This window comes from Homo sapiens, chromosome 8 (assembly GCF_000001405.40).
Source record: "Homo sapiens chromosome 8, GRCh38.p14 Primary Assembly".
Lineage (NCBI taxonomy): Eukaryota > Metazoa > Chordata > Mammalia > Primates > Hominidae > Homo > Homo sapiens.
In genome coordinates, this window is record NC_000008.11 from 28,644,852 (window position 1) to 28,670,355 (window position 25,504).

The 25,504-nt window shown below is 42.3% G+C and overlaps 1 protein-coding gene across 7 annotated transcripts in view, besides 1 other annotated feature; it reads left to right on the forward strand.

Annotated features, from left to right (window-relative positions):
- Positions 1-25,504, forward strand: part of EXTL3 (exostosin like glycosyltransferase 3) — a 148,827-nt gene that overhangs the window by 37,116 nt on the left and 86,207 nt on the right. The gene's annotated exons all lie outside the window — the stretch shown is intronic.
- Positions 22,061-22,355: a silencer, noted in NCBI's record as "tiled region #11135; K562 Repressive non-DNase unmatched - State 22:ReprW". NCBI's record gives its function as "represses a minimal TATA promoter and a strong SV40 promoter by Sharpr-MPRA in K562 cells {active_cell/tissue: K562}" and the evidence as "EXISTENCE:reporter gene assay evidence [ECO:0000049][PMID:27701403]".

The window sequence follows — 25,504 nt, forward strand, 5'->3', positions numbered from 1 at the left end:
TTAAGCTTCTCAAGGACTAGTACTGGACCTATGGATTTCACATCTCTTAGATCTTACCATGGTGCCTGATGCAATGTTCTGTATACGCCTCTGGTGATGGAGTTTTATTTCCCTAGCTATTGGTCAGGCCAACTAGTCTTTCTCATTTTGGGTTAACATTATCATATTGTTTTCATCTTTTCTCCTCCTTTCTTTTCTTCTTAATTTGGGGGACATTGTTTCTTCTGAAAAGGGGAGTGAGAAAGGGAATAATAGAAGGAACTGCTCAACCAGTCTCTCCTGGGGGCCTGCACTGTATTTGTCATGGTACTTGACACTAAAAAAGAAACAAACATGAAATGAAAGACAAGTTTAAAATATATTTAAAACAGATGTTTGTGCTTTAATTTAAAAATTCCAAATGCAACCCTTTGACCCAGCAAGTCTACTTCTGGAAATCTATCTTATGGAAATAATTAAAACTCGTGCAAAAACATTTAGGTCTAACATGTTCATCTCAGCCTTGTTTATAATGGAGAATTAGAAACAAATTTTCAACCATGGGGATTTAACACATAAGTACAATGGAATTCCTCTGTTAAAAATAATATATATACTGACACAGATATTTATGATTTATTAATTGGAAAACCTGAGCTATAATGTACAGTGTCATCCTATTTTTGTAAAAGACAAATGTACAACAACGACTAGGAGGATGGTCACGAAGAATGTATGCTGGTAATGAAATTAAATTTTTTTTGCTTATCTGTGTTTTAAACTTTTCTACAATAAACCTTTATTTTTTATTATAACCACTTGTAGTCTTACCATAAAATAAGCCTTTCTAAAGTTATTCTCTCTGTTTTTTTCTTTTTTTAAGAGATGGGGTCTTGCTATGTTTCCCAGGCTGGTCTCAAACTCCTGGGCTCAAGCAATCTACCCACCTTGGCCTTCTGAAGTGCTAGGATTACAAGCATGAGCCACTGCACCTGGACTTTTTTTTTTTTTTTAAAGTTATTCTCTTATTGATTGATTGATTGATTGATCGAGACAGGGTCTTGCTCTGTCACCCAGGCTGGAGTGTGGTGTTGTGATCATGGCTCACTGCAGCCTCAACTTCTCAGGCTCCGGAGATCCTCCCACCTCAGACTCCTGAGTAGCTGGGACCACAGGCGTGCGCCACCACACTGGGCTAATTTTTGTATATTTGGTAGGGATGGGCTTTGCCATGTTGCTCATTCTGGTCTTGAACTCCTGGGCTCAAGCGATCTACCTGCCTCGGCTTCCCAAAGTGTTGGGATTATAGGCCTGAGCCACTGTGCCCAGCCTAAAGTTATTCTTAAAAACTACTCCAGCCACCAGAGCTTATATTAATGTAATTATTTTATATAGTTCTTTTTCCTCAGAAGTAATCAATTACAAATAAATAACTGTTAATAGTTGAGGTCTTGTGAAAAGGAACACATTTCTTTTACTTTCTTGCGTTGATAACACTTTTTCCACAGCTGCAGTGGGTTCCGAATCCATAGCTATGTTAAGTTAGAGCCTTGTGAGAACAGGTGACTTGGATTTTGTTTATGGTTGACATACTAATTCTCTTTATAACCTTGGCATATTTACTTTTCTGCTTTTTGTCCAGCAACTCTCTGTGAAATGTGGAGAATGCCTTTCTCATTACTACCCTAGCAGATGTATTAAAAGTCTCTGGGGACTCCCCTCCTGGAATGAGAAATGGTCCATCTTGGCCAGCCAGGGTAACCTTTCAGGTTACCTTGTAACTTCCAGTGTAACTGCTACGCACATTCACTAAATTGTTAAGTTAAATCTGAATCATTAGTTGTTCATTAATTCAACAGATATCTGAATATTGACAGCCTGGGTTCACATGCCAGCTTAGCTATTTAACTCTGTGAGCTTGGGGAAGTCAGTTAATTTCTCTGGGCTGCCATTTCCTCATTTGTAAAATGAATAGTATGAATACATAATTGTTGTAAGGACTAAATGAGATACAAAATGCATCATGCCTAGCACCATAGTAAATTCTCAACAAATTACAGCTAAGTGCCAAGTACTGAGCTTTAAGCCCCATTCATTCAGCATACACTAAGTGAATCTTACTGTGGGCCAGTGTTCTAGGCACTTGGTTACTTCAGTGAACAAAACAGAGAAAAATCTCTGTTCTTGTGAGGCTTACATTCAAGCAGATGCAAACATGAAATAGACTGTATTCTAATCCACGGCTGTTGCTAATAAGCATTCCTATTAATTTAGTTCTTTTTTTTTTTTTTGAGACGGAGTTTTGCTCTTGTCGTCCAGGCTGGAGTGCAATGGCACGATCTCGGCTCACTACAACCTCCTCTTCCTGGGTTCAAGCCATTGTCCTCCCTCATCCTCCCTAGTAGCTGGGATTACAGGTTCCCGCCACCATGCCCAATGAATTTTTTTTATTTAGTAGAGACGGGGGTTTCACCATGTTGTCCAGGCTGGTCTCGAACTCCTGACCTCAGGTGATCCACCTGCCTCGGCCTCCCAAAGTGTTGGGATTACAGGCCTCAATTTAGTTCTTTTTATGTGACAGCCACTGTGTGGAATGATTGCCTGCATAATCACTCATACATAATCTCATTTTCTCATTAACTGTGTGAGGCAGGGATTCCTGTTGTCATCTGACGGTATGGCAGCTGAGCATCAGAGAGGTTATGTTAAGTTCAGGAGACAAGCCAGTGGAGCAGATGGTATTCAAACCCAGGCTGTCTGTCTCTAAAGTTCACGCCTGATCCCTACACGTTGGGAGTCTCGCTTTCAGCCTCTGTGTGAGGCTGTCATTTTTGCTGATGGTTCTTTTCTGACATTCTTGCCAACACTTTTTTCTAGGCAGCAGAAGCTGTCGGGGAAAGAAATTTGAGTTTTCCTCTTTTATGTTAAAGTATTTAATTATCTCTGCAGGAAATGATCGGAGAAGGCATAAATGACAGCTCTGCTTAGAATGTTTCTTTGAATCAATCAGGAATTGCAGGTGACTCTCCTCAGTGTGTGGAAAAGAGGTCTCAATTAGAAGGAGAAGTCGGGGTGCAGCCTTGGGGGGCACTAGATGGGTTGGGGGTGGGGGCACTAGATGGGTTGGGGGTGGGTTGGGGGTGGGAGACGATCAGTGGAGGTCCTTTGATGCTGGTCATGCTACCTGGCTAGGGTGAAGAAATCCAAGAGTTGACGCCTCCTGTACACTGCACAGTGTTGTATGAATATTGGATAATGGATTGGTCCAGCACCTTTACTGTATTTATTCTTTACTGATTATTTCTCTGTTCTTTGCCTACTGGTTTCTTATGTCTTTCTGATGCTGAGTTTCCATACAGGTAGGAGTTTGTTTTGGGCCCCTTTGGTTGATTGGTCTGGTTATCTATTTCTGGGCTAATATTGTACAGTCTAAATACTATACTTTGTAATTTTGGATTTTTTTTCCTGGCCCTGAGTCTTTCGGAAAGATGTGATTCCTCAGCTCCTCCAGCTCCCCCATATCCCTCTTCCTCTGCCAGTCTGCAGTTGCCCAACCCTCTGGAATGTTCATGTCCTCCAGAGGTAATGTTGAATAAGTCCTGCACAAATTTTAAAAATTATCATTTGGAGATATTTCAAGTATTCAGAAAAGTATGAAGAATAACATCTCGTAGTCACTACTTATCTTTGACACATCATAACATTCTGCCTTTTGGCTCCAGATCCTTTTCTTAAATAATAAGAGAAAAAGTCATGAACACCCACTATGCACCACTTCCAATTTCACTCTCCTCCCTCCCTCCCTCCCTTCCAGAGGCCACTACTGTCCTGAGTGAGGTGTGTGTCATTACAGGGCATGCTGTCCTCCTGTTACTACATATGCATGCACAGATCATAAGGCACATTCTTTTATTTTTTTAATCTATTTTTATTAGAGATAGGGTTTTGCTATGTTGCCCAGGCTGGACTCAAACTCCTGGGCTCAAGGGATCCTCCCACCTCAGCATCCTGTTAGCTGGGACTGTAGGCGTGCACCACCACACCCAGCTAAGGTTTGTTTTGGTTTGTTTGTTTGTTTGTTGAGACAGAGTCTTACTCTGTCGCCCAGGCTGGAGTGCAGTGGTGCAATCTCGGCTCACTGCAACCTCTGCCTCCGGGTTCAAGAAATTCTCCTGCCTCTGCCTCCTGAGTAGCTGGGATTACAGATGCCCGCCACCGCTCCCAGCTAAGGTTTTTTTGTTTTTGTTTTATAGAGCCAGGACAGGATCTTACTATATTGCCTAGGCTGGACTTGAACTCCTGGGCTGAAGTGAGCTTTCTTCCTCTGCCTCCCAAGTAGCTGGGAATACAGGCATATGCCACTGTGCTCCACATAAGTCATATTCATGTGTCATTTCCTTGTACCTGTATGCAATTGTTCCTCTAGGGTATTTATCTAGAGCTGCAATTGCTGGGCTTAGTGAGTGCACACTGATCTGGTCAAATTTCTCTCCACAGTGCTTGTCCCAGTTGATGGTGTGTATGACAGCTTTTGCTTCTCCTCTGTCTCTACCATGCTTACTACTGTTGGCTGACTTAAATTTTTTGCCAATCTGATGCCTGTGAAATTGTGTCTCGTAATTGTTTGTACATGCCTTATTACTAATGAAGTTGAGCATCTTATGTTTATTGGCCATTTGCACCTCCTCCTTGTTGAATGATCTGTTCATATTCTTTGCTTTTTTGTCTGTTGTGTCATCATTTTTCTGATTGGTTGAAGTAGTTATTTATATATTCTGGTTACTAAACTTTTACCAGCCATGTGCCATGCAGGTATCTTCTCTAAGTCTCTTGCTTGTTTGTTTCCTTACTTTGTCTATGGTATATTTCAGTGTGTAGATAAGTTTAATTTTAATGTAGTCAGCCATTTCACAATAATTTCTTTGTGGTTTATGCTTTCAAGTCTTATTCTAAAAATTCTTCCTCTTCTCCCAAATCATGTATACATTATTCTATGTTTTCTTTCTTAAATTCTATAAAGTTTTGATTTTTTTTACATCAAGCTATAAGCAGTAAGGTAATCCAAAATATAGATGTTGTTGAAAGCCCGGGCACGGTGGGTCACACCTGTAATTCCAGCACTTTGGGAGGCTGAGGCAGGCGGATCACCTGAGGTCAGGATTTGAGACCAGCCTGGCCAACATGGTGAAACCCCATCTCTACTAAAAATACAAAAATTAGCTGAGTGTGGTGGCGCACACCTATAATCCCAGCTACTCTGGAGGGTGAGGCAGGAGAATTGCTTGAACCCAGGAGGCGGAGGTTTCAGTGAGCCGAGATTGCACCACTGCACTCCAGCCGGGGTGACAGAGTGAGACTCTGTCTCAGGAAAAAAAAAAAAAAAAAAAATCCAGATGTTGTCTAAGGCCTCTCTTTACCTCTCCCCAATTTCACAATTTATTCTGTGATTGGTGTGAGGTAGAGGTCCATTTTTCTTTTCTTTTTAATATGGATAATTGATTGGTTCAGCACCTTTATTGTATTTACTTATTATTATTATTATTATTTTGAGACAGAGTCTTGCTCTGTCCAGGCTGGAGTGCAGTGGCGCGATATCAGCTCACTGCAACCTCTGCCTCCTGGGTTCAAGCGATTCTCCTGCCTCAGCCTCCCGAGCAGCTGGGATTACAGGTACGCGCCACCATACCTGGCTAATTTTTGTATTTGTAGTAGAGACGGGGTTTCACCATGTTGGGCCAGGCTGGTCCCAAACTGCTGACCTTGTGATCTGCTCACCTCAGCCTCCCAAAGTGCTGGGATTACAGGCATGAGCCACTGTGCCCGGCCTGTATTTATTCTTTACTGATTATTTCTCTATTCTTTCCCTACTAGTTTCTTATGTCCGTCTGATGCCAAGTTTCCATACAGGTAGGAGTTGGTTTTGGGCCCCTTTAGTTGATTGATCTAGTTATCTATTCTGGGCTAATATTATACAGTCTAAATACCATACCTTGTTAAAAGCCTTGATATCTCGTAGGGATAACAAGGCCTACCTTCTTTTTCTTTTTTCAAATTTACTTCTTGTTATTTTCAGTTCTTTGTTTTTCCATATGTATTTTAGAATCAGCTTATCTAGTACAGGTTGAGTCTCCCTTATGTGAAAAGGGAGTGGGACCAGAAGTGTTTCAAATTTTCTTTTTCTCCTTCTTTTCACCGGTGTTGAATGTTTCAGATCTTTGATTTTTTGGATTTTGGAATATTTGCACTGTTACCGGATTAAGCATCCCTAATCCCAAACTGCAAAATCCAGAATGCTGCAATGAGCATGTCCTTTGAGTGCCATGTCGTTGCTCAAAAGTTTCGGATTTTGGATTTTCAGATTTGGGATGCTCAATCTGTACCTTTAAAAACAGAATACATAATCCTGAGTATTTTCCTAGGCTTCATCTAGCCCACCATGCTGCTGTTTGCACTAGACCCTGTGACATTATCCTTCCTGATAAGCTTTCAGAACAGTTTCTTCTGTTTTTTTCAAAGACAGGGTCTAACTTTGTCCCCCACGCTGGAGTGCAGTGGCACTATCATGACTCACTGCAGCCTCGAACTCCTAGGCTCAGGAAATCTTCCCGCCTCAGGTTCCAGAATAACTAGTACTACAGGCATATGCCACCACACCCGGCTAATTTTTTATTTTTTGTAGAGACATGCTCTCCTTATGTTGCCCAGGCTAATCTCAAACTCCTGGGCTCAAGTGATCCTCCTGCCTCAGCCTTCCAAAGTGCTGGGATTATAAGCATGAGCCACCATGCCTGACCAGCAACAGTCTCTAATTCCTGTATTCATAGGTCATTTTGCACATATTACTTTTCTCTTAAAAAATGTGTTGAAATACATATAACATAAAATTTCCCACTTAAGCCACTTTTGTGTATAACTCAGTGGCATTCATTACATTCATAATCTGTGCAAGCATCACTACTCTGACAAAACTCTCTTCCCATTAACCAAGGTTAATAACTCCCAATTCCTTTCTCCTCCCAGCTTCTGGCAACTACCATTAGACTTCTGTATCTACGAATTTGCGTCTCTTCCTATATGTGGAATCATACAGTATGGTCCTTTTGTGTCTAGCCTCTTTCATTTAGCATGTCTTCAAGGTCCATCCATATTGTAGCATGCATCAGAGCTTAATTTTGACGGCTGAATAATATTCCATTGTGTGTGTGTGTCTGTGTGTGTGTGTGTGTGTGTATGTATACTGAACCACGTTTTGTTTCTTCCCATGTTGGGCATTTCAGTTGTTTCTAGCTTTTGGCTCTGGTGAATAATACCTCAATGAACATTGGTGTGCAAGTATTTGCCTGAGTCCTTTTTACTTCTTCTGGGTGTTTTCATAGGAGTGAAGTTGCTGGATCATATGGTAATTCTATGTTTAACTTCTTGAGGAACTGCCAAGCTGTTTTCCACAGTGGTTGCGTCGCTACATTCCCACCAGCAATGTCCAAGGGTTCCCATTTTTCCACATCCTCTTCCACATTTGCTATTTTCCTTTAAAAAAAAATTATAGCCTGGTGTTGTGGCTCATGCCTGTAAACCCAGCATTTTTGGAGGCCAAGGTGGGAGGATTGCTTGAGCCCAGGAGTTCCAGGCCAGCCTGCGCAACACAGGGAGGCCCCATAGCTACAAAAAAAAAAATTATCTGGCTGTGGTGGTGCATGCCTATGGACTCAGCTACTCAAGAGGCTGAGGTGGGAGGATCACTTGACCCCAGGAGGTGGAGGCTGCAGTAAGCCATGATCGTGCCACTGCACTGTAGCCCAGACGACAAAGTGAGATCCTGTCTCAAAAAAAATATATAGATATATTTATATATAGCCATATATATATATATAGCCATCTTAGGTGTGAAATGCTATCTCATTATGGTTTTCATTTGCATTTCCTTAATGATTAGCAATGTTGAGCATCTTTTCCTGTGTTTATTGGTCATTTGTATATCTTCTTTGGAGAAATGTCTGTTCAAGCTCTTTGTCCTCTTTTTCTCCCCACTGTATTATTTTTTAGAGTAGTTTTTAAGTTAACAGCAAAACTGAGCAGAAAGTAGAGAATTCCCATATACCTCTCACCTCCACACATGCATAGGCTGACCCACATTCAACATCCCTCATCAGAGTGGTACATCTAATACAATTGATTAACCAAATTGACATATCATTAGCACCCAGAATGCATATTTACGTTAGAGGTCACTCTTGGTGTTGGTATGCAAGTTTTGATGAGTGTATAATGACATGAATCCACATGATAGTAGCATATAGAATAGTTTTACTGCCCTAAAAATCCTCTGTGCTCATCCTATTCATTTCTTCCTTCCTGCTAATCCCTCCCTTTGCACATTTTAAAATGGGATTGTTTTTGTGTTGTTCAGTTGTAGGAGTTTTTTACGTATTCTGGACATCAAACCCTTATAGGATATATGATTTATACATATTTTCTCCCATTCTGTGGATTGTGTTTTTACTCTCTTGATAGTGTCCATTGATGCATACAAGTTTTTTATTTTCAAAAAGTTTAGTTTATCTATATATTCTTTTGTTACCTGTGCTTTTTAAGTGTCATACTTAAGAAACCACTGCCTAATCTAAGACCATGCAGATTTGCCCCATGTTTTCTTTTAAGAGTTTTATAGTTCTGCCTCTTAAATTTAGGCTTTTGATTCACTGTTAGTTTTTATATATGGTATAGGGTAAGGGTCTAACTTCATTTCGCATGTGGATATCCAGTTTTTTCAGCACCATTTGTTGAAAACACTCTCTTTTTCCCATTGAGTGGCCTTGACACTCTTGCTGAAATCAATTGACTAGAGACATTTGGGTTTATTTCTGGGTTCTAAATTTTATTCCATTGGTTGATATGTCTATTTTTATGCCAGCACCACACTTAGTGCTGTTTTGATTACACTTTTTTGATTACTGTAGCTTTGTAATACGTTTTGAAATCAGAACATGTGAGCCCTCCAACTTTGTTTTTCTTTTTCAAGATTATTTTTGGCTATTTTGAGTCTCTTAATTCTTTATGAATTTTAGAATGGGATTTTTCATTTCTGCAAAAGATGCTCTTGAGATTTTGATAGGGATTGCATTGGATCTGTATAAAGCTTTGGATAGTATTCTCATCCTAACAATATTAAGTCTTCCAATCCATGAACATGGGATGTCTTTCAATTTATTTGGGTCTTGTTAAAATTTCTTTTGGAAATGTTTTATATTTTTTCACTGATTACATTTTAAGTTAGTTGTTTGCTGATGCTCTCTAGGAAGACAGTAGCATATCTCTAGAATATAAGAGGGTCTTTCTGAGATGCTGAGTCTTATAAAGTTTAGCTAAAAAGGGAGAAAGCAGTATTTATTTTTAATACCAGAATTGGTTTCCCCAGTCATGGTTTTTGAGAATTATTAAACAAGGTGAAAAAGAAACTTGTATGGCTTTCAGATTCTTAGGAGATTTTGTTGATTTCATTGAGTTTACTCTGTGCTGAATGGTTTTATTCTTTTTGTTTGTTTGTTTGTTTTTGTTTTGCTTTTTTAAAGACAGGATCTTGCTTTGTTGCCCAGGCTGGAGTACAGTGGCATCATCATAGCTCACTGCGGCCTCAACCTCTTGGGCTCAAGCAATTCTCCTACCTTGGCCACCTGAGTAGCTAGGACTACTCACCATCACTTCTAGCCAACTTTTTATATTTTGTAAAGATGGGGTCTTACTATGTTGCCCAGGCTGGGGAGTCTAGCTTTAAAAAAAATCTTTCAGGAAGATATTATTGTTGAATCCATGTTCAATATTGTAATATCATCTCTAATACCATCTTCTATTATTATATCCACATTGCAGTCTATATCATATAATAATATAGAACAAACACTTTAGATGTTTGACTTTCTGGAGCCCCATCTTCTTTTTCATACCCCAATTTTGTTGTAATTCTGCAAACATTCAAACCTGAACATTCAAACATTCTAACCCTCTTCCAAGAATGACTCTTGACTTCATTCTTCAGGTAATGGTGCCACATCAAACACTGCCTAACAAGGCAAACAGAGAACTATTATTTAGTCAAACCTTTTGGGCTTAGAGAAATAAAATGGTGGCAGACCTTTGTTTGGGAGGCAAAGCAAGGTGAGAAGAGTAAGGCCGATGTATTTTTCTGACCCTCATCATTTACCTTGTGTTTGTTTATTGACTTTTGTAAGGTTAGCATGAGGCCTCTGATATTAGCAGCATATATTGAATATTCTCTCAATATTTTGAGCACTTTAAAAATCTTCCACCTGATTTAATCTTCATAATAAGTTCACAAAGCCAGGCCTGCTGGCTCACACCTGTAATCCTAGCACTTTGGGAGGCCAAGGTGGGAGGATCACTTGAGTCCAGGAATTCAAGACCAGCCTAGGTGACAGAGTGAGGCACTCTGTCTAAGAAAAAGAAGAAAGAAAAAAAATTCTGCAAGACAAATATTATTATGCCTATTTTATAAGAAAGTCAACTCAGATTGAATACTTTGCCATGGTCATCCATAGAGTAAGTGATAGAGCTACATTTAAGCCGGAACGATCTGATTCTGAAACCCATGCTCTTGTGATTTTCCTAGTCTTCTTTAATATACCTTGAGAATAAAAATCTTCCTTTTTTTTTTTTTTTTTTGAGACAGCGTCTCACACCTGTTGCACAGGCTGGAGTGCAGTGGCACGATCATAGCTCACTGCATCTTTGACCTCCCTGGGCTTAGGCGATCTTCCCACCTCAGCCTCTGGAGTAGCTGGGACCACAGGTGTGTGCCACCACACCTGGCTAGTTTTTTGTACTTTTAGTAGAGGACAAGGTTTTGCTATGTTTCCTAGGCTTGTCTTGAACTCTTGGGCTCAAGCGATCCACCAGCCTCGGCCTCCCAAAGTACTAGGATTGTAGCATGAGCTGCTGCACCTGGCCTAAATCATTCTTTCTTAATAGGTATTTAGCTAACAAGCCCAGGCATCACATTTCTCAATCTGCTATTTACAGAATGATTCAACCTGGTCATGATGGCGGCCTGAACAAGGACAGTAGTTGAGAGAGAGGAAGGGACTAATTGGAGACCTATTATTGGCTTAGAAATAATAGGAGTTAGTTGATGATGGGTGGGTGAGAAAGAGCAGGTGGTGTCAAGATGAGTCCAGATGCAGGATCATTGAGAACCTTCTGCCTTTTAGACAATAAATCCATTTCAGGGAAGCAACTGCCATTAAAACTTATTTTCTCTGTGGCATGCTAGACCCTGGTCATTTATAATTTATAATTTATTATCCGTGAGCAATCAGAAGGTTGTTCAACCATTTTTTTTTTTGAGATAAGATTTCTCTCCCGTCATCCAGTCTGGGGTGCAGTGGCATGATCTTGGCTCGCTGCAGCCTCTGCCTCCTGGGAGGTTCAAGTGATTCTCCTGCCTCAGCCTCTTGAGTAGCTGGGATTACAGGTGAGCCACCACACCCGGCTAATTTTTGTATTTTTAGGATTTCACCATTGTTGCCCAGGCTGGTTTTAAACTCCTGACCTCAAGTAATCTGCCTGACTCAGCTTCCCAAAGTGCTGGGATTATAGGCATGAGCCACTGCGCCCAACCTGTTCAACTATTTTTTTAATTTTATCCTCCAATTCATTCCCCTCTGTGTCATTTGAGTTTCTATAATTTATAATCAAAAGAGTCCTGACTAATAAAGGGGGAAGTTTTTTGCTATAGGGCTGTTCCCAACCTTGGGATTAGGAAAGGTTTTGGGATAAATACCTTGCACACGTCAAGGTCTACTGTATTTTTTCAAGTATTCAGGGGCTTGATTTTGCATCTAATTTTACTGACTTCATGTAAAGCCTTGTGTTAAATGGTGGGAAACTTTGCTAGCTTCAAATATGCCTAAAACCTCCTCAAATAGTTTAAATATTTGCTTACTCCTTTCATAACCCCTAAAGAGCTGAGAAAAAAAATTGATGAAGACTAAAAAATTATTTGTTGTTTCTGAGATGAATGTGACCATTATTATGGTTGGTCTTTCTTTCTTTCTTTCTTTCTTTCTTCACACTCTCTCTCTCTCTTACTTTTTTTTTGTTTATTTTGAGACAGGGTCTCACTCTGTTGCCAAGGCTGGAGTGCAGTGGCATGATCTTGGCTCACTGCAGCCTCTGCCTCTGGGTTCAAGTGATTCTTCCACCTCAGCCTCCCAAGTAGGTGGAACTACAGGCGCCCACCACCACCACCACACCCAGCTAATTTTTTTTTGTATTTTTTGGTAAAGTGGAGGTTTCGCCATGTTGGCCAGGCTGCTCTTGAACTCCTGACCTCAGGTGATCCACCTGCCTCGGCCTCCCAAAGTGCTGAAATTATAGACATGAGCCACTGTGCCCAGTCTCATTATGGACTTTAGCAAGTATAAGGAAGAAAGTGGTTTGAATTGCTGGATAGAGAGTTTTAAACTCAGTGGGAGGAAGACTGGGGAGGAGCTATTGGCCTTGCCAGTGCACTGAGTAACGCAGTCATCTCTGCATCCACTGCCCTTTCTTACTCTGGCACCTTGGACAGCTCCACTCTGCCTGGCCCGACTAAGTGGGCCCCACTGACCTGCTGTCCAATGACATCTTCAGCATTATGGGAACATTTTTTTTATTGTAATATTTTAATTTTGTTTAGAGCTGTAACATTCTTATGCTGTCCATCTGAGCTTCCTTTTTTATCCTTCAAGGTTTCTGGACTACATGGTTTGGTAACAATCATGGTTTGGTTTTTATTTTTAATGTATACATCTTTCACATTGTACACTCTATTTTTTTGCTTTGTAAGAGTCATCTGTGCTTATTTAAAAAAAAAATTGGAAAGCACATCAAAGCATAAAGACCCGGGGGGAAAAAACCTACCCATTATTACACAACTTGAAGCCAGTAGCATTCACATTTGGGCATATTTCTCTGTGGTATCTTTTGGGAGAGTTCCAAGCTTGGCTTGGCAGCTAGCCTTGCTTCTATCCTGGGCTCTTTGACCTCCTGGGCTTCACTCCTCCCTTAATAGAGGTTTACTTAATCGACCTTCCCTTCCTCTTTCTGCCTTCCCATAGACACAATTAAAGCCAGCTGCTTGAGGATTCTGGTAACTGGTGAGGACAGCTGATTCTGAGCCCGCTGGCAAGAGGGCAGGCTGAGAGGGTGGGGTTGGACTCTGGCTGATGCAGGGGCACCGGGCAGGAAGCTCAGCAGCTGGGCAGGGGCCTGGACACAGGGCTGCCCGTGCAGAAGCCACGTGGTCCTGCTCTCACATTTTCCCTGCTGTTCAGAGCCAGCCAAAGCTGAGGGCATATGCTTGACACCGGACGGTGGGTGGGGGGGGTCCCTCAGAAACCAACTTCCTGCTTATTATGTCAGGCCTCAGCAGGGGATATTTTTTCATTATTCTCTTAATTGTTTTGAGTAGGAACACAGTCACATGGTTCATGGAGCAGAAGTCTCCCTCCTGCTCAGCCCCATCCACCCTGTTTTCACCCTCCCTAATCCACTCCAGGTAATCAGCTTTTCATTTCTGTGTGTATTCATCTAGACTTTATTTGTGAATACTAAAGCACATAAAAATATATTCTATATTCTTTTTTTCCCTTCCTTGTAAACAAAAGGAAGTGTCTTATACACCTTTTCTGTACCTTGCTGTTCCCCCCCTGCCCCCGCACTTATCTTGGAGACTCTAAAAATATCTGTACCTTGAAAGTTTCCTCATGCACTCTTTTTTTGAGCTCGCTCTGTCGCCCAGGCTGGAGTGCAGTGGCACAATCTCAGCTCACTGCAACCTCTGCCTCCTGGGTTCAAGTGATTCTTCTGCCTCAGCCTCCTGAGTAGCTGGGATTACAGGTGCCCACCACCATGCCTGGCTAATTTTTGTATTTTTAGTAGAGATGGGGTTGTGTTGTGTTTTTCAGGCTTGTCTTGAACTCCCAACCTCAAGTGATCCACCCACCTCAGCCTCCCAAAGTGCTGGGATTATAGGCATGAGCCACTGCACCCGGCCCTCCTCATGCACTTTTATACCTTCGAAATATTCCATCGTATGTATGTAGCACAATGTATTTCATCAGTCTTCTACTCAAGGATATTTGCCTTCTTTCCAATCTTTTGTTATTTTGAGCAATGCTACAGTGAGTAACTTAGAGTATATGTTATTTCCTAAGTACGGCTGAAGGATAAATTCCCAGAAGTTAAATTACCAGGTCAAAGGAGATACTCATTTGTAATTCTGATCTCTGTGGCCCACTTCCCTCCATGGGGTGCTGTGCCAATTTGTACTTCTACTGGGAAAGTATGCAATGCAGTCTTTGTTTCTCTTGGGGGATTATTACATACTTCTTATATGTTGCTTTGAACTGTTCTTCATTTTTTTTTTTTTCCATTTGGATGCTGTCCTCCCAGTTAGAGGGCAAGTTTATTGAGAGCAAGGGCCAAGTGTTTTATTGCTTTTGAAGTGTCTGCATTTATAAATAATATAATACTGCACCCTAGGAGCATAAGAACTACTACTGCCTTCAGTATCATTTGGGAGATTAAGCCAATTAAACTTGAATGACAAGAGGATTCTCACGCCTGATTAGAGTTCAGTTGAACTGATTTCGATTTCTCTCTCCAAAGTCAAGGTATTCCAAATCCTTGTTTCAGGTAGTTATGGGAGGAATCCTGAGAGGAGAGCCCTTGACCGGGGCCTACAGCAGTTTTGCTTACTTCTATGTCAGCTTCTATCCTGGATCCGGGTGTCGGTTTCCCAGATGCAACCCCAGGGTCGCCCCAACATCAGCAAGTCTAATTGCTGCCGGTCCTGTCACTTACTTTCCTCAATTTGTGCCAGTGCCTGCCCCAAACTCAGCAAGAGAACAAAGAGCTGCTTTTAAGCTTTTTGTATCTGCCACATATGCAAACATGACATCATTGCAGTTTCGTTTGCCTATATCCTGGTAGTGAAAATGTCCTCAGTGTTTCTTTGTTGTCTCAGTTGCCACTGTACTGGAGTCTCCCCTGTGTCTAATTCTGCCTGGGGGTCCAGGGGTTTTCACACTCTTTGGCTTGAATATCCCCTGAAAGAACTTTGTAAAATTGCATGCCCCCTCGCATGTTGACAATCTACATGCAACATTTTACTATACGTTTAAATAGTTGTAAGGATATGTTTTACAGAATATTGTCAATATTGACACTCAACTTAGTTTAAAAAATAAAGTTGGGCCGGGTACAGCGGCTCATGCCTGTAATCCCAGTGCTTTGGGAGGCCAAGGCAGGAAGATCGGTTGAGGCCAGGAGTTTGAGACCAGCCTGGGTAACATACCAAGACCTCATCACTACAGAAAATTTAAAAAATTAGCCCAGTGTAGTGGTGTACACCTGTAGTACCAGCTACTTACAAGGCTGAGGTGGGAGGATTGCTTGAGCTAGGGAGGTTGAGGCTGCAGTGAGCTGTGATTGCACTGCGGCACTCCAGCCCGGGCGACAGAGCAGTGAGACCTTGTCTCCAAAAAAAAAAAAAAGTTGTTAGGTAGACATGTACACAAGTGTATGTACGTTAAGCTCTCATACAAACATACACATACTGTATATACACACACACTCCCAATTATATATATGTGTGTGTGTACACACAGACATATATATATACACATACACACACTCCCAATTTTTATTGTGTTAAAATATACATAACACAATTTATCATCTTAATCACTTTTAAGTGTACAGTTCAGTGGTATTAAATACATTCATAATCTTGTGCAACCATCACCACTATCCTTCTCTAGAACTCTTTTCATCTTGTAAAACTGAAACTCTGTACCCACTAAATACTAACTCTCCATTCCCCATCCCCCGGCAACTCCCACTCCACTCTCTGCCTTTGATTCTCACTATTCTGTGTGCCTCACATAGGCACGTACAATATTACTTACTTATCCCATGCTAAGGAAATAGCCCTCTATTCCGATTTTTGGCTTTTTTTTTTTTTTTTTTTTTTTTTTTGCTATTGCTATTTTAATGGGGAAAGTTTTCCTCTCTTTTGTTCGTTTCTTTTTTTTTTTTTTTTTTGAGACAGAGTCTTGCTCTGTTGCCCAGGCTGGAGTGCAGTGGCGCGATCTCTGCTCACTGCAAGCTCCGCCTCCCGGGTTCACGCTATTCTTCTGCCTCAGCCTCCCAAGTCGCTGGGACTACAGGTGCCTGCCACCACGCCAGGCTAATTTTTTGTATTTTTAGTAGAGACGGGGTTTCATCGTGTTAGCCAGGATGGTCTCGATCTCCTGACTTCGTGATCCGCCCGCCTCAGCCTCCCAAAGTGCTGGGATTACAGGTGTGATTGTTTGTTTCTATTGTTTACATACAATAAAGTCTACCAATTTGAAGTGTATAATTTGATAATTTTGGTCATTGTATACAGCTGTATAATCTCATCACAATCAGAGCATATTCATGTTGAGGCTTTATGTATATGAGCTTTATGTTTTATATATATATATACACACACACATATACACACAATATATGTATTATATAAAGCTTTAGCATAAATACAAATGCATATATGCATATGAATAGATAAGTATATGTATACATAATAAAAAATATCTAAATACACATACCTAAATATAAAGCCTTAACATGAATATATATATGTTGGGGCGTATATAAACACACATATATATATAGTATACATATGTATTGATATTAAGGCTGTATGTTATATAAATTATATATGTAGGCCAGGTGAGGTGGCTCATGCCTGTAATCCCAGCACTTTGGGAGGCCGAGGTGGGTGGATCATTTGAGGTCAGGAGTTCCAGACCAGCCTGGCCAACATGGTGAAACCCCGCCTCTACTAAAAATACAAAAAAAAAATTAGCTGGTTGTGGTGGCAGGCACCTGTACTCCCAGCTACTCAGGAGGCTAAGGCAGGAAAATTGCTTGAACCCGGGAGGCAGAGGTTGCAGTGAGCCAAGGTTGCGCCACTGCACTCCAGCCTGGGCAACAGAGTGAAACTCCTTCTCAAAAAAAAAATTAAAATAAAAGATAAAATATAAATGTATATATTACATATTGTTTCACATATTACATAAACAATATTAAATATGAAAAGTATAAATATATAATACAATATAAAATATATACTTATATAAACTATAGAGGGTAAATAATAGGTCCTTAAATATGTGTATAGATGTATGTGTATATATGAGTGTAACCTACGCATGCACAGAAACCTGTTACATTATTATTTTTTTTGATGGTATACAAAGGAATCTCATCGTGTTTGATTCCTGCCATCATCCATTAAAATAATACCTGGACAAGCTCTCCTTGAAACATAAGAAATGTTATATCATTTTTTTTTCTAAATTTGAATTTCCATTCCACTTCCCACACAGCTTTTCCTCACATATATTTTTATCCTTGAAAGTCTTTTGCTGGTCACCCTATCATACTGCACAAAAAGTATAGACCTATATTGATATTTTTATTTCCTGTGACCATTGAACAAGCGTTTAATCATTTCTTCTGATGAAGTTGTCATCAGTAGTAGTAATACAAATTGGCCAAAACAACAATATGTATTTCCAATGAATAAGTCCTATTAAATAGGGAGTTAGATTTAAGTTAGAAATATCTTCCTTAATGGGACAGTTGGCCTTTTTCTCCAGTTAGTTTATGTGTCTAGGTTTGGTTCCTACTCACTGCTAGAATCAATTCTGTTTCTCCATGACACTGCAGAGGAAACCTGTTTGTATAAAAAGTAGAGCCAGGCTTGGTGGTTCACGTCTGTAATCCCAGCACTTTGGGAGGCCAAGGCGGGTGGATAATTAGAGTCCAGGGGTTCGAGACCAGCCTGGGCAACATGGTGAAATCCTGTCTCTAAAAAATACAAAAATTAGCCAGGCGTGGTGGCACGTGCCTGTGGTCCCAGCTACTGGGGAGGCTGAGGTGGGAGCTCCTTGAACCCAGGAGGTCCAGGCTGCAGTGAGCTGAGCTGCGATTGCACCATTGCCCAGTTGTTTGAGGCTGCAGTGAACCACGATTGTGCCACTGCACTCTAGCCTGGAAGACAGAGTGAAACCCTGTCTCCAAAAAATTAAAAAGTAGATAGAAATGGAAATAATTGTATTACCGTACTATCAGTTAATTCTTTGAGCTCATTCTGAGCCAAAAACCCTATGCTGATTTATCGTCAAAAATAATTTTTAATGCTCTATCCACATGCAATTCAATGAGATCTCCTTAGGCTTGAGGGAAAGGAAAAATGTTGGAAAGCCCCTGACTTTGCAAAAGCAAATTTTACTCAGTCCTTGTGGTTATATGTTGGTTCAGCACTAATACCAGGATTGGGTTTGGTGCCCCAGGAAACATGCCATGGTAAGATTAGGATGGGTAAGGGGTGTCCTCTTCTTTTTATAAAGTAGAAAAGGGCTACTGGGGAAAGTAAGACCCTGCCCCTCCCTCGCAGGCAAGGGCTCAGGCAGATCAGTTGCAGAAAAGCGGGCCTGGAAATCAATTCCTTTCAAACTGTTGGTGCCCTTGTACTGAAGAGGAAGTGTTCTTATACCTCCATTTGAAGACCATTATTCTTTTATTTTTATTTGTGATGGTGTCTCGCTGTGTCGCCACGCTAGAGTACAGTGGCGTGATCTTGGCTCACCGCAACCTCCACCTCCTGGGTTCAAGCAATTCTCCTGTCTCAGCCTCCTGAGTAGCTAGAATTACAGGTGCACACCACCACACCCAGCTAAATTTTAAATTTTTAGTAGAGACGAGGTTTCACCATGTTGGCCAGGCTGGTCTCGAACTCCTGACCTCAAGTGATCCGCCCACCTCAGCCTCCCAAAGTGCTGGAATTACAGGTGTGAGCCACTGTGCCTGGCCTGAAGACCACTATTCTTTGAAACCCCTAATCTCTTCCACTTTACAAGACAGCGTTCTCAAACCTCCCCTCAGCAAGACAGTTTCAGGCAGAGGCTGGTGTCTCTCAGTTTTCCTCTCTGGGGCAGGGCTGAGGAGGCTGCCATTGCTGGCGGCAGGCTAAATTTGGCTGCTCAGTTAGACAGGCGTTACGAAGTGAATAGACTCCTGGGAAAAGAGGAAGAAAATAAGTGAGAAAACATTGCTGTCTCTTTATCTTTTGAAAATACACGTGGGCCCTGACCAGGTGACACCTTCTTCACCAGTGACGGAATGACTATTGGTGAAGACACAGTTGACAGGCAGTGGGTTACAGAATGAGCAGAGAGAAAGACCCGGATTTGGCGGGCTGTCATGGTCTGCTTGGGCTGCCCTAACAAAATACCACAGCAGGCTGGGTGGCTTCAACAGCCGGCATTTATTTTCTCACCATTCTGGAGGATGGAAGTCTGGGATCAGGGTGCCAGCATGGTCACATTCTGGTAGGGACCCTCTCCCTGGCTTGCAGGTGGCTGCCTGTCATTGTGTGCCCATGTGGCCTTCCCTTGGTGAGTGCATGGGCAGAGACAGAATCTTTCTTTCCATCTTTGTTTGTTTGTTTGTTTGTTTGTTTGAGACAGGGTCTTGCTGTGTCACCCAGGCTGGAGTGAAGTGACGTGATCATGGCTCACAGACGTGAGCCACTGCATCCGGCCTCTGGGGTCTTTTTTCATTTTGAGTAAGCAAACACCTAAAGTACTTTTTTCACGTGGAATGAGTGGTGGTAAACAATGTGAGTTTTGACAGGTCTCAATATTTTTTTTCATATTGATTCTTGAACTGTGTCGGATGATTCTTTATAGAATCCAGAGTTCAAGATATTCCTTTCCCCAGGCATTTGAAGATATTGTTCCATTGTCTTCCAGCAACCAGTATTGTTGATGAAATTTGATGGCAGTTTAATTCCCTTTCCTTTCCTTTTTATATACATCTCCCCCCGGAAGCTTTCAAAATTGCCCAGCGTTCTGAAATTTCACAAGAATGCAACACCATTAGGTCTTTTTTAATTCACTCTGTACAGCAGTCAGTGGACATTGTAATCTGAAGATGAGTTCCTCTTCAGCTCAGGGTCTTTTTCTCTCATATCTTTGATGATTTCCTCCCCTTCCTTCTTTGTCTCCTTTGGAATTCCTATGAAAGGAATATTGGACTACCTGACTCTATCACCCTTGAGCCTTTTCTCTCACATTTACCTATTTTTGTCTGTTTCCTTTTTATTCTGAAAGTTTTCCTTTACTTTTTTTTTTTTTTTTTTTTTTTTTTGAGAGGGTATCTCACTCTATCGCCCAGACTGGGGTGCGATGGTGTGACATCAGTTCACTGCAGGCTCCACCTCCCAGGTTAGAGTGATTCTCATGCCTCAGCCTCCCGAGTAGCTGAGATTACAGTTGCCTGCCACCACCATGCCTGACTCATTTTTGTATTTTTAGTAGAGACGGGGTTTTGCCATGTTAGCCAGGCTGGTCTCAAACTCCTGACCTCAGGTGATCCACCCACCTAGGCGTCCCAAAGTCCTGGGGTTATAGGCGTGAGCCACCACGTCTGGCCACCTTTACTTTCATATCTCAAGCTCAGTCGTCACTTGTTTACTTTTTTTTTTTTTTTTTTTTTGAGACAGGGTCTTGCTCTGTCACCCTGGCTGGAGTGTGGTCATGGCTCACTACAGCCTCAATCTCCTGGGCTCAAGTGATCCTCCCACCTCAGCCTCCCAAGTAGTTGGGACTACAGGCACATGGCACCACACCAAGCTAATTTTTGTATTTCTTGTAGAGATGCGGTCTCACCATGTTGCCCATGGCTCAAACTCCTGGGCTCGGGCAATCCGTCCATCTCAACCTCCCAAAGTGCTGGGATTACAGGCATGAGCCACTGTGCCTGTCCTACTTGTGTACATTCTAAGGAAGGCAGTCCTGCCATCTGATTTTTTTTCTTATGCCCTGTAATCATACCTTAATTACCAAGTACGCTTTTTTATTCTTTTCTGGATAGGTTTTCTATGTTTAGCTGGAGGGCAAAAGCTGAATGTGTTTAAGACACTGGCAGTCCCAACTCTCCCAGCTTTAATGAATTATCCTAATGATTGCCATGGTGCACTTCTGTGCCTTCTGTCTGGCGTCATCCAGTTAGAAGCTTCCATGGACTTCTTTTCAAGATCTGGCCTTCCTGGTGGCGTTTGAATCTGTGGTTTTCTTGTCTGCTTCTTTGTCAATCTCATCCTAATGCTTTCTGCCCTCCAGGAGTTTTTAAGATTTCTTGCCTGCTGATGGCAGCCTTTCTTTTTGCGCCTCTTATTATTTCACTCTTTTTCAAAATGCCTTTTTCATCATTTCAATGGGTCCTTGAATGGGAGATGAGAGAGATCTTAGGTACTCAGTGCATCAGTTTAAACTCCGGAAGGTTCTTTCTTGCTTTCTTGCTGTCTCTTTTCTTTTCTTTTCTTTTCCTTCCTTCCTTCTTTCTTTTTGTTTTTAGACAATGTCTCACTCTGTCACCCAGGCTGGACTGCAGTGGCATGATCATGGCTTCCTACATTCTCAAACAACTGGGCTCAAGTGATCCTCCTGCCTCAGCCTCCTGAATAGCTGGGACCATGGGCGTGTACCACCAAGCCTGGCTAATTTTTTTTGATGGAGTCTCACTATGTTGCCCAGGCTGGTCTCAAACTCCTGGACTTAAGCAATCCTCCCACCTTGGCCTCCCAAAGTGCTGGGACTATAGGCGTGCTTACGCCCAGCCACTCTTTTCTTTTCTTTCTTTTTTTTTATTTGAGACAGAGTTTCACTCTGTCGCCCAGGCTGGAGTGCAGTGGCGTGATCTTGGCTCACTACAACCCCCGCCTCCTGGGTTCAAGTGATTCTTGTGCCTCAGCCTCCCCAGTAGCTGGGATTACAGGCACATGCCACCACACCCAGCTAATTTTGTATTATTAGTAGAGATGGGGTTTCACCATGTTGGCCAGGCTGGTCTCGAACTCCTGACCTCAGGTGATCTGCCTGCCTCGGCCTCTCAGAGCGCTGGGATTACAGGCATGAGCCACCACGCCCAGCCCCAGCCACTCCTTTCTTAAAATTGTATTCCAGTCCTCTCCTCCTGCCTTCGACTCCCTGGTTTGTCTCCTTACCTTGCATAAAGGTCCCCACAGCAATGCAACCTGGAGAGTCCTCTGGCAGACTCAACTTGAAGGTGTGGGAGCTTCCTGTGCTGGTCAGTCTGTTGACCCAGACACCAGATCCTCTGGGGCGGCAAGGATGAAAGACTCTGGTTGTGCTAATGGAGCTCCCTCATTGTTTACCTGTCAGAGAAAAATTGCGCTGAACAAGTTAAGTAGGCAAAGAAAACTTTTTTCAAGACTATTGCATTGGGGGTCAAGACTCAACCCTGAATATAACAGTGGCAGCTGGGGATTTGTAGACAATGGACAAGGTGCAGGGGCCAGTGGATGGAAAAGTAATGCAAGGAACTTGGTAAAGTAACAAGGGTGGGGGATTCTTGCAGAACCAGATTCAGCAGGCCAAGGATGAGGCCTGGTCAAGAAGAGCATTCAGAGGAGCCTGACTCAAGTTTGGTCAAGGACCAGGAGTCACTGTTGGCCCCTCCTTCATTCAAGGTACTGTGAATATTTCTGTTCAATACTGGGCCTCTTGGCCAAGTGGCTACCCTCCTCACTGGACTTGATAGCTCAGGCCTCTGATATTTCTTTATTTTGCATGGTTCCGATTGGTGAGGTTTCCTTAAAGCTTACTCAGCTGTAATGCTTTGGCAAGCAGAATCAAATTGTGTTTAAGCCCAGGCTTTGGAATCAGAAGCACTTAGGTTCAGATCTTGTCTCTGCCACTTATTAGCTGTATGACTTTGGGCAGGTCACTTAAGAATATTTTCTTCCCTTGGTGTGGGGGGAGGGGGGAGGGACAGCATTAGGAGATATACCTAATGTAAATGACGAGTTAATGGGTGCAGCACACCAACATGGCACATGTATACATATGTAACAAACCTGCACATTGTGCACATGTACCCTAGAAATTAAAGTATAAAAAAAAAAAAAAGAATATTTTCTTCCCTTGGCTGGGCGTGGTGGCTCACACCTGTCATCCCAACACTTTGGGGAATTGAGGCAGCAGAATCTCTTTAGTCTAGGAGTTCAAAAGCAGCCTGGGCAAGCTCAGTGACTCACGCCTGTAATCCTAGCACTTTGGGGGATTGAGGTGGGAGAATCTCTTGAGTCCAGGAGTTCAAGACCAGCCTGGGCAAGATGCTGAGACATTGTCTTTACAAAATAAAACTGAAAAAATTATTCGGGCATGGTGGCATGCACTTGTAGTGGCAGCTACTTGTGAGGCTGACGTGAGAGGATTGCTCGAGCCCAGGAGTTCAAGGCTGCAGTGAGGTATGATTGCACCAGTGCACTCCAACAAAATATGAGGTCCTGTCTCAAAAAAAAAAAAAAAAGAAAAGAAAAAAGAAAAGACAAAGAATACTTTCTTTCCAGAGTTGTTACTTTTTTTTTTTTTTTTTTTTTTTTTGAGACAGAGTCTCACTCTGTCACCCAGGCTGGAGTGCAGTGGTGCAATCTCGGCTCACTGCAACCTCCGCGTCCCAGGTTCAAGCAATTCTCCTGCCTCAGCCTCACCAGTAGCTGGGATTACAGCCACAGTGCCCACCACCATGCCTGGCTAATTTTTGTATTTTTAGTAGAGACGGGGTTTCCCCATGTTGGCCAGGATGGTCTCGAACTTGTGACCTCAGTTGATCTGCCTGCCTCGGCTTCCCAAAATGCTGAGATTACAGGCGTGAGCCACTGTGCCTAGCCCAGAGTTGTTAACTATTGATGTTATTATTCACTAAATGGAAGCTACCATTAATTTTCACATTTTATTGATCCAGACTCACACCATGTAGATCTCCTGAAGCCAGCATCAGCCCCAACATACTTCTCATATCATGGCTAGTGTACAAGTTTACCTAGGCTTGGCATCTGGCAAGCATCTAATATGCACCAGTAACCAATAGCATACCCCTGCCTCCTTTGATAGAATCTCTTTTTTTTTTTTTTTTGAGACAGAGTCTTACTGTGTTGCCCAGGCTGGAGTGCATTGGCATGATCTCAGCTCACTGCAACCTCCGTCTCCTGGGTTCAAGCAATTCTCCTGCCTCAGCCTCCTGAGTAGCTGGGACTACAGGTGTGTGCCACCATGCCCAGCTAATTTTTGTATTTTTAGTAGAGGCAGGGTTTCACCATGTTGGCCAGGCTGGTCTCAAACTCTTGACCTTAAGTGATCCACCTGCCTTGGCCTCCCAAAATACTGGGATTACAGGCATAAGTCACTGTGCCTGGCCTGATAGAAGCAAATCTCTGAGGCCCTTTATGGTACCTCTCTTACTCTGAAAAGCATTTCTTGGTCTTCTTCAATTCGCACTGCACTAACTATAAGGAAAATGTCCTAACTTTATTCCGATGGTAGCATGTATCAAGGCCATTGGAACACTCTTTCTTAATGGCATAATTATTGCAGCAGTTACCTACATCAGTACTTAAAGTGGAGTGGGGTGTTAATGCTATGCAGCTTTGCTGCTCTTTCATGCCTATCAAATGCTTCTCTTCAAGTTACCATTTCCTGCATAATGCTATTACTCTATTAGATAAATTGATATGTCCTCTATAGCCTCTTTACTTTCAAAAGTATGTCTGAGAGCTTTCAGAAGTTTGAGAAGGGGTGTGTGTGTTGTGCAAACTAAGGGGGAAATGGAGGGCAGAAAGCCCTGTCATTTTTGTAGTAGCTCACATAGAAGCTCAAGACAAAAGACAGAAATGGAATCTGTCCCCATAATTCACAAATTATGGGGACTGTACATGTTGTTTCCATTTTTGATATCATCTCTAACTTCTCTGTTCTCTGATATTAAGCAAGAAAAATTAGCATCACCCAGAATATTACAATGGGTGTCTAAATGAACATGCGTTCCACTTTCAGCAAGCCTCAACCTTGGCTTCACTCCCAGGGCTGATGGCACAACAGGGCTGAAATCACCACTGAGTCATTGAATCTGAATCACCTGTACTGAGATGCCAGGTTGCAGATGTCCTTTAAAGGGACTTTGAGGCCGGGTGCAGTGGCTTATGCCTGTGATCTGAGCACTTTGGGAGGCTGATACAGGTGGATCACCTGAGCCCAGGAGTTTGAGAGCAACCTGGGCAACATGGCAAAACCCCGTCTCGACCAAAAATACAAAAACTAGCTGGGCATGATGTTGTGTGCCTGTGGTCCCAGCTACTTGGGGAGCTGAGGCAGAAGGATCGCTTGAGCCAGGGAGGCAGAGATTGCAGTGAGCTGAGATTGCACCACTGCACTCCAGCTTAGGCAGCAGAGTGAGACTCTGTCTCAAAAAAAAAAAGGTTGGGGGGAGATGGGGGACTTTGAGACAGGTTGCTAGGAATAGTGCTAATTTTTAGTGAGGTAGAAATTAAGGCAGCAAACAGTGATTTAGAAGGAATTTTTGGTCCAGTTCTGTATTAAGGGATTGCCAGAGA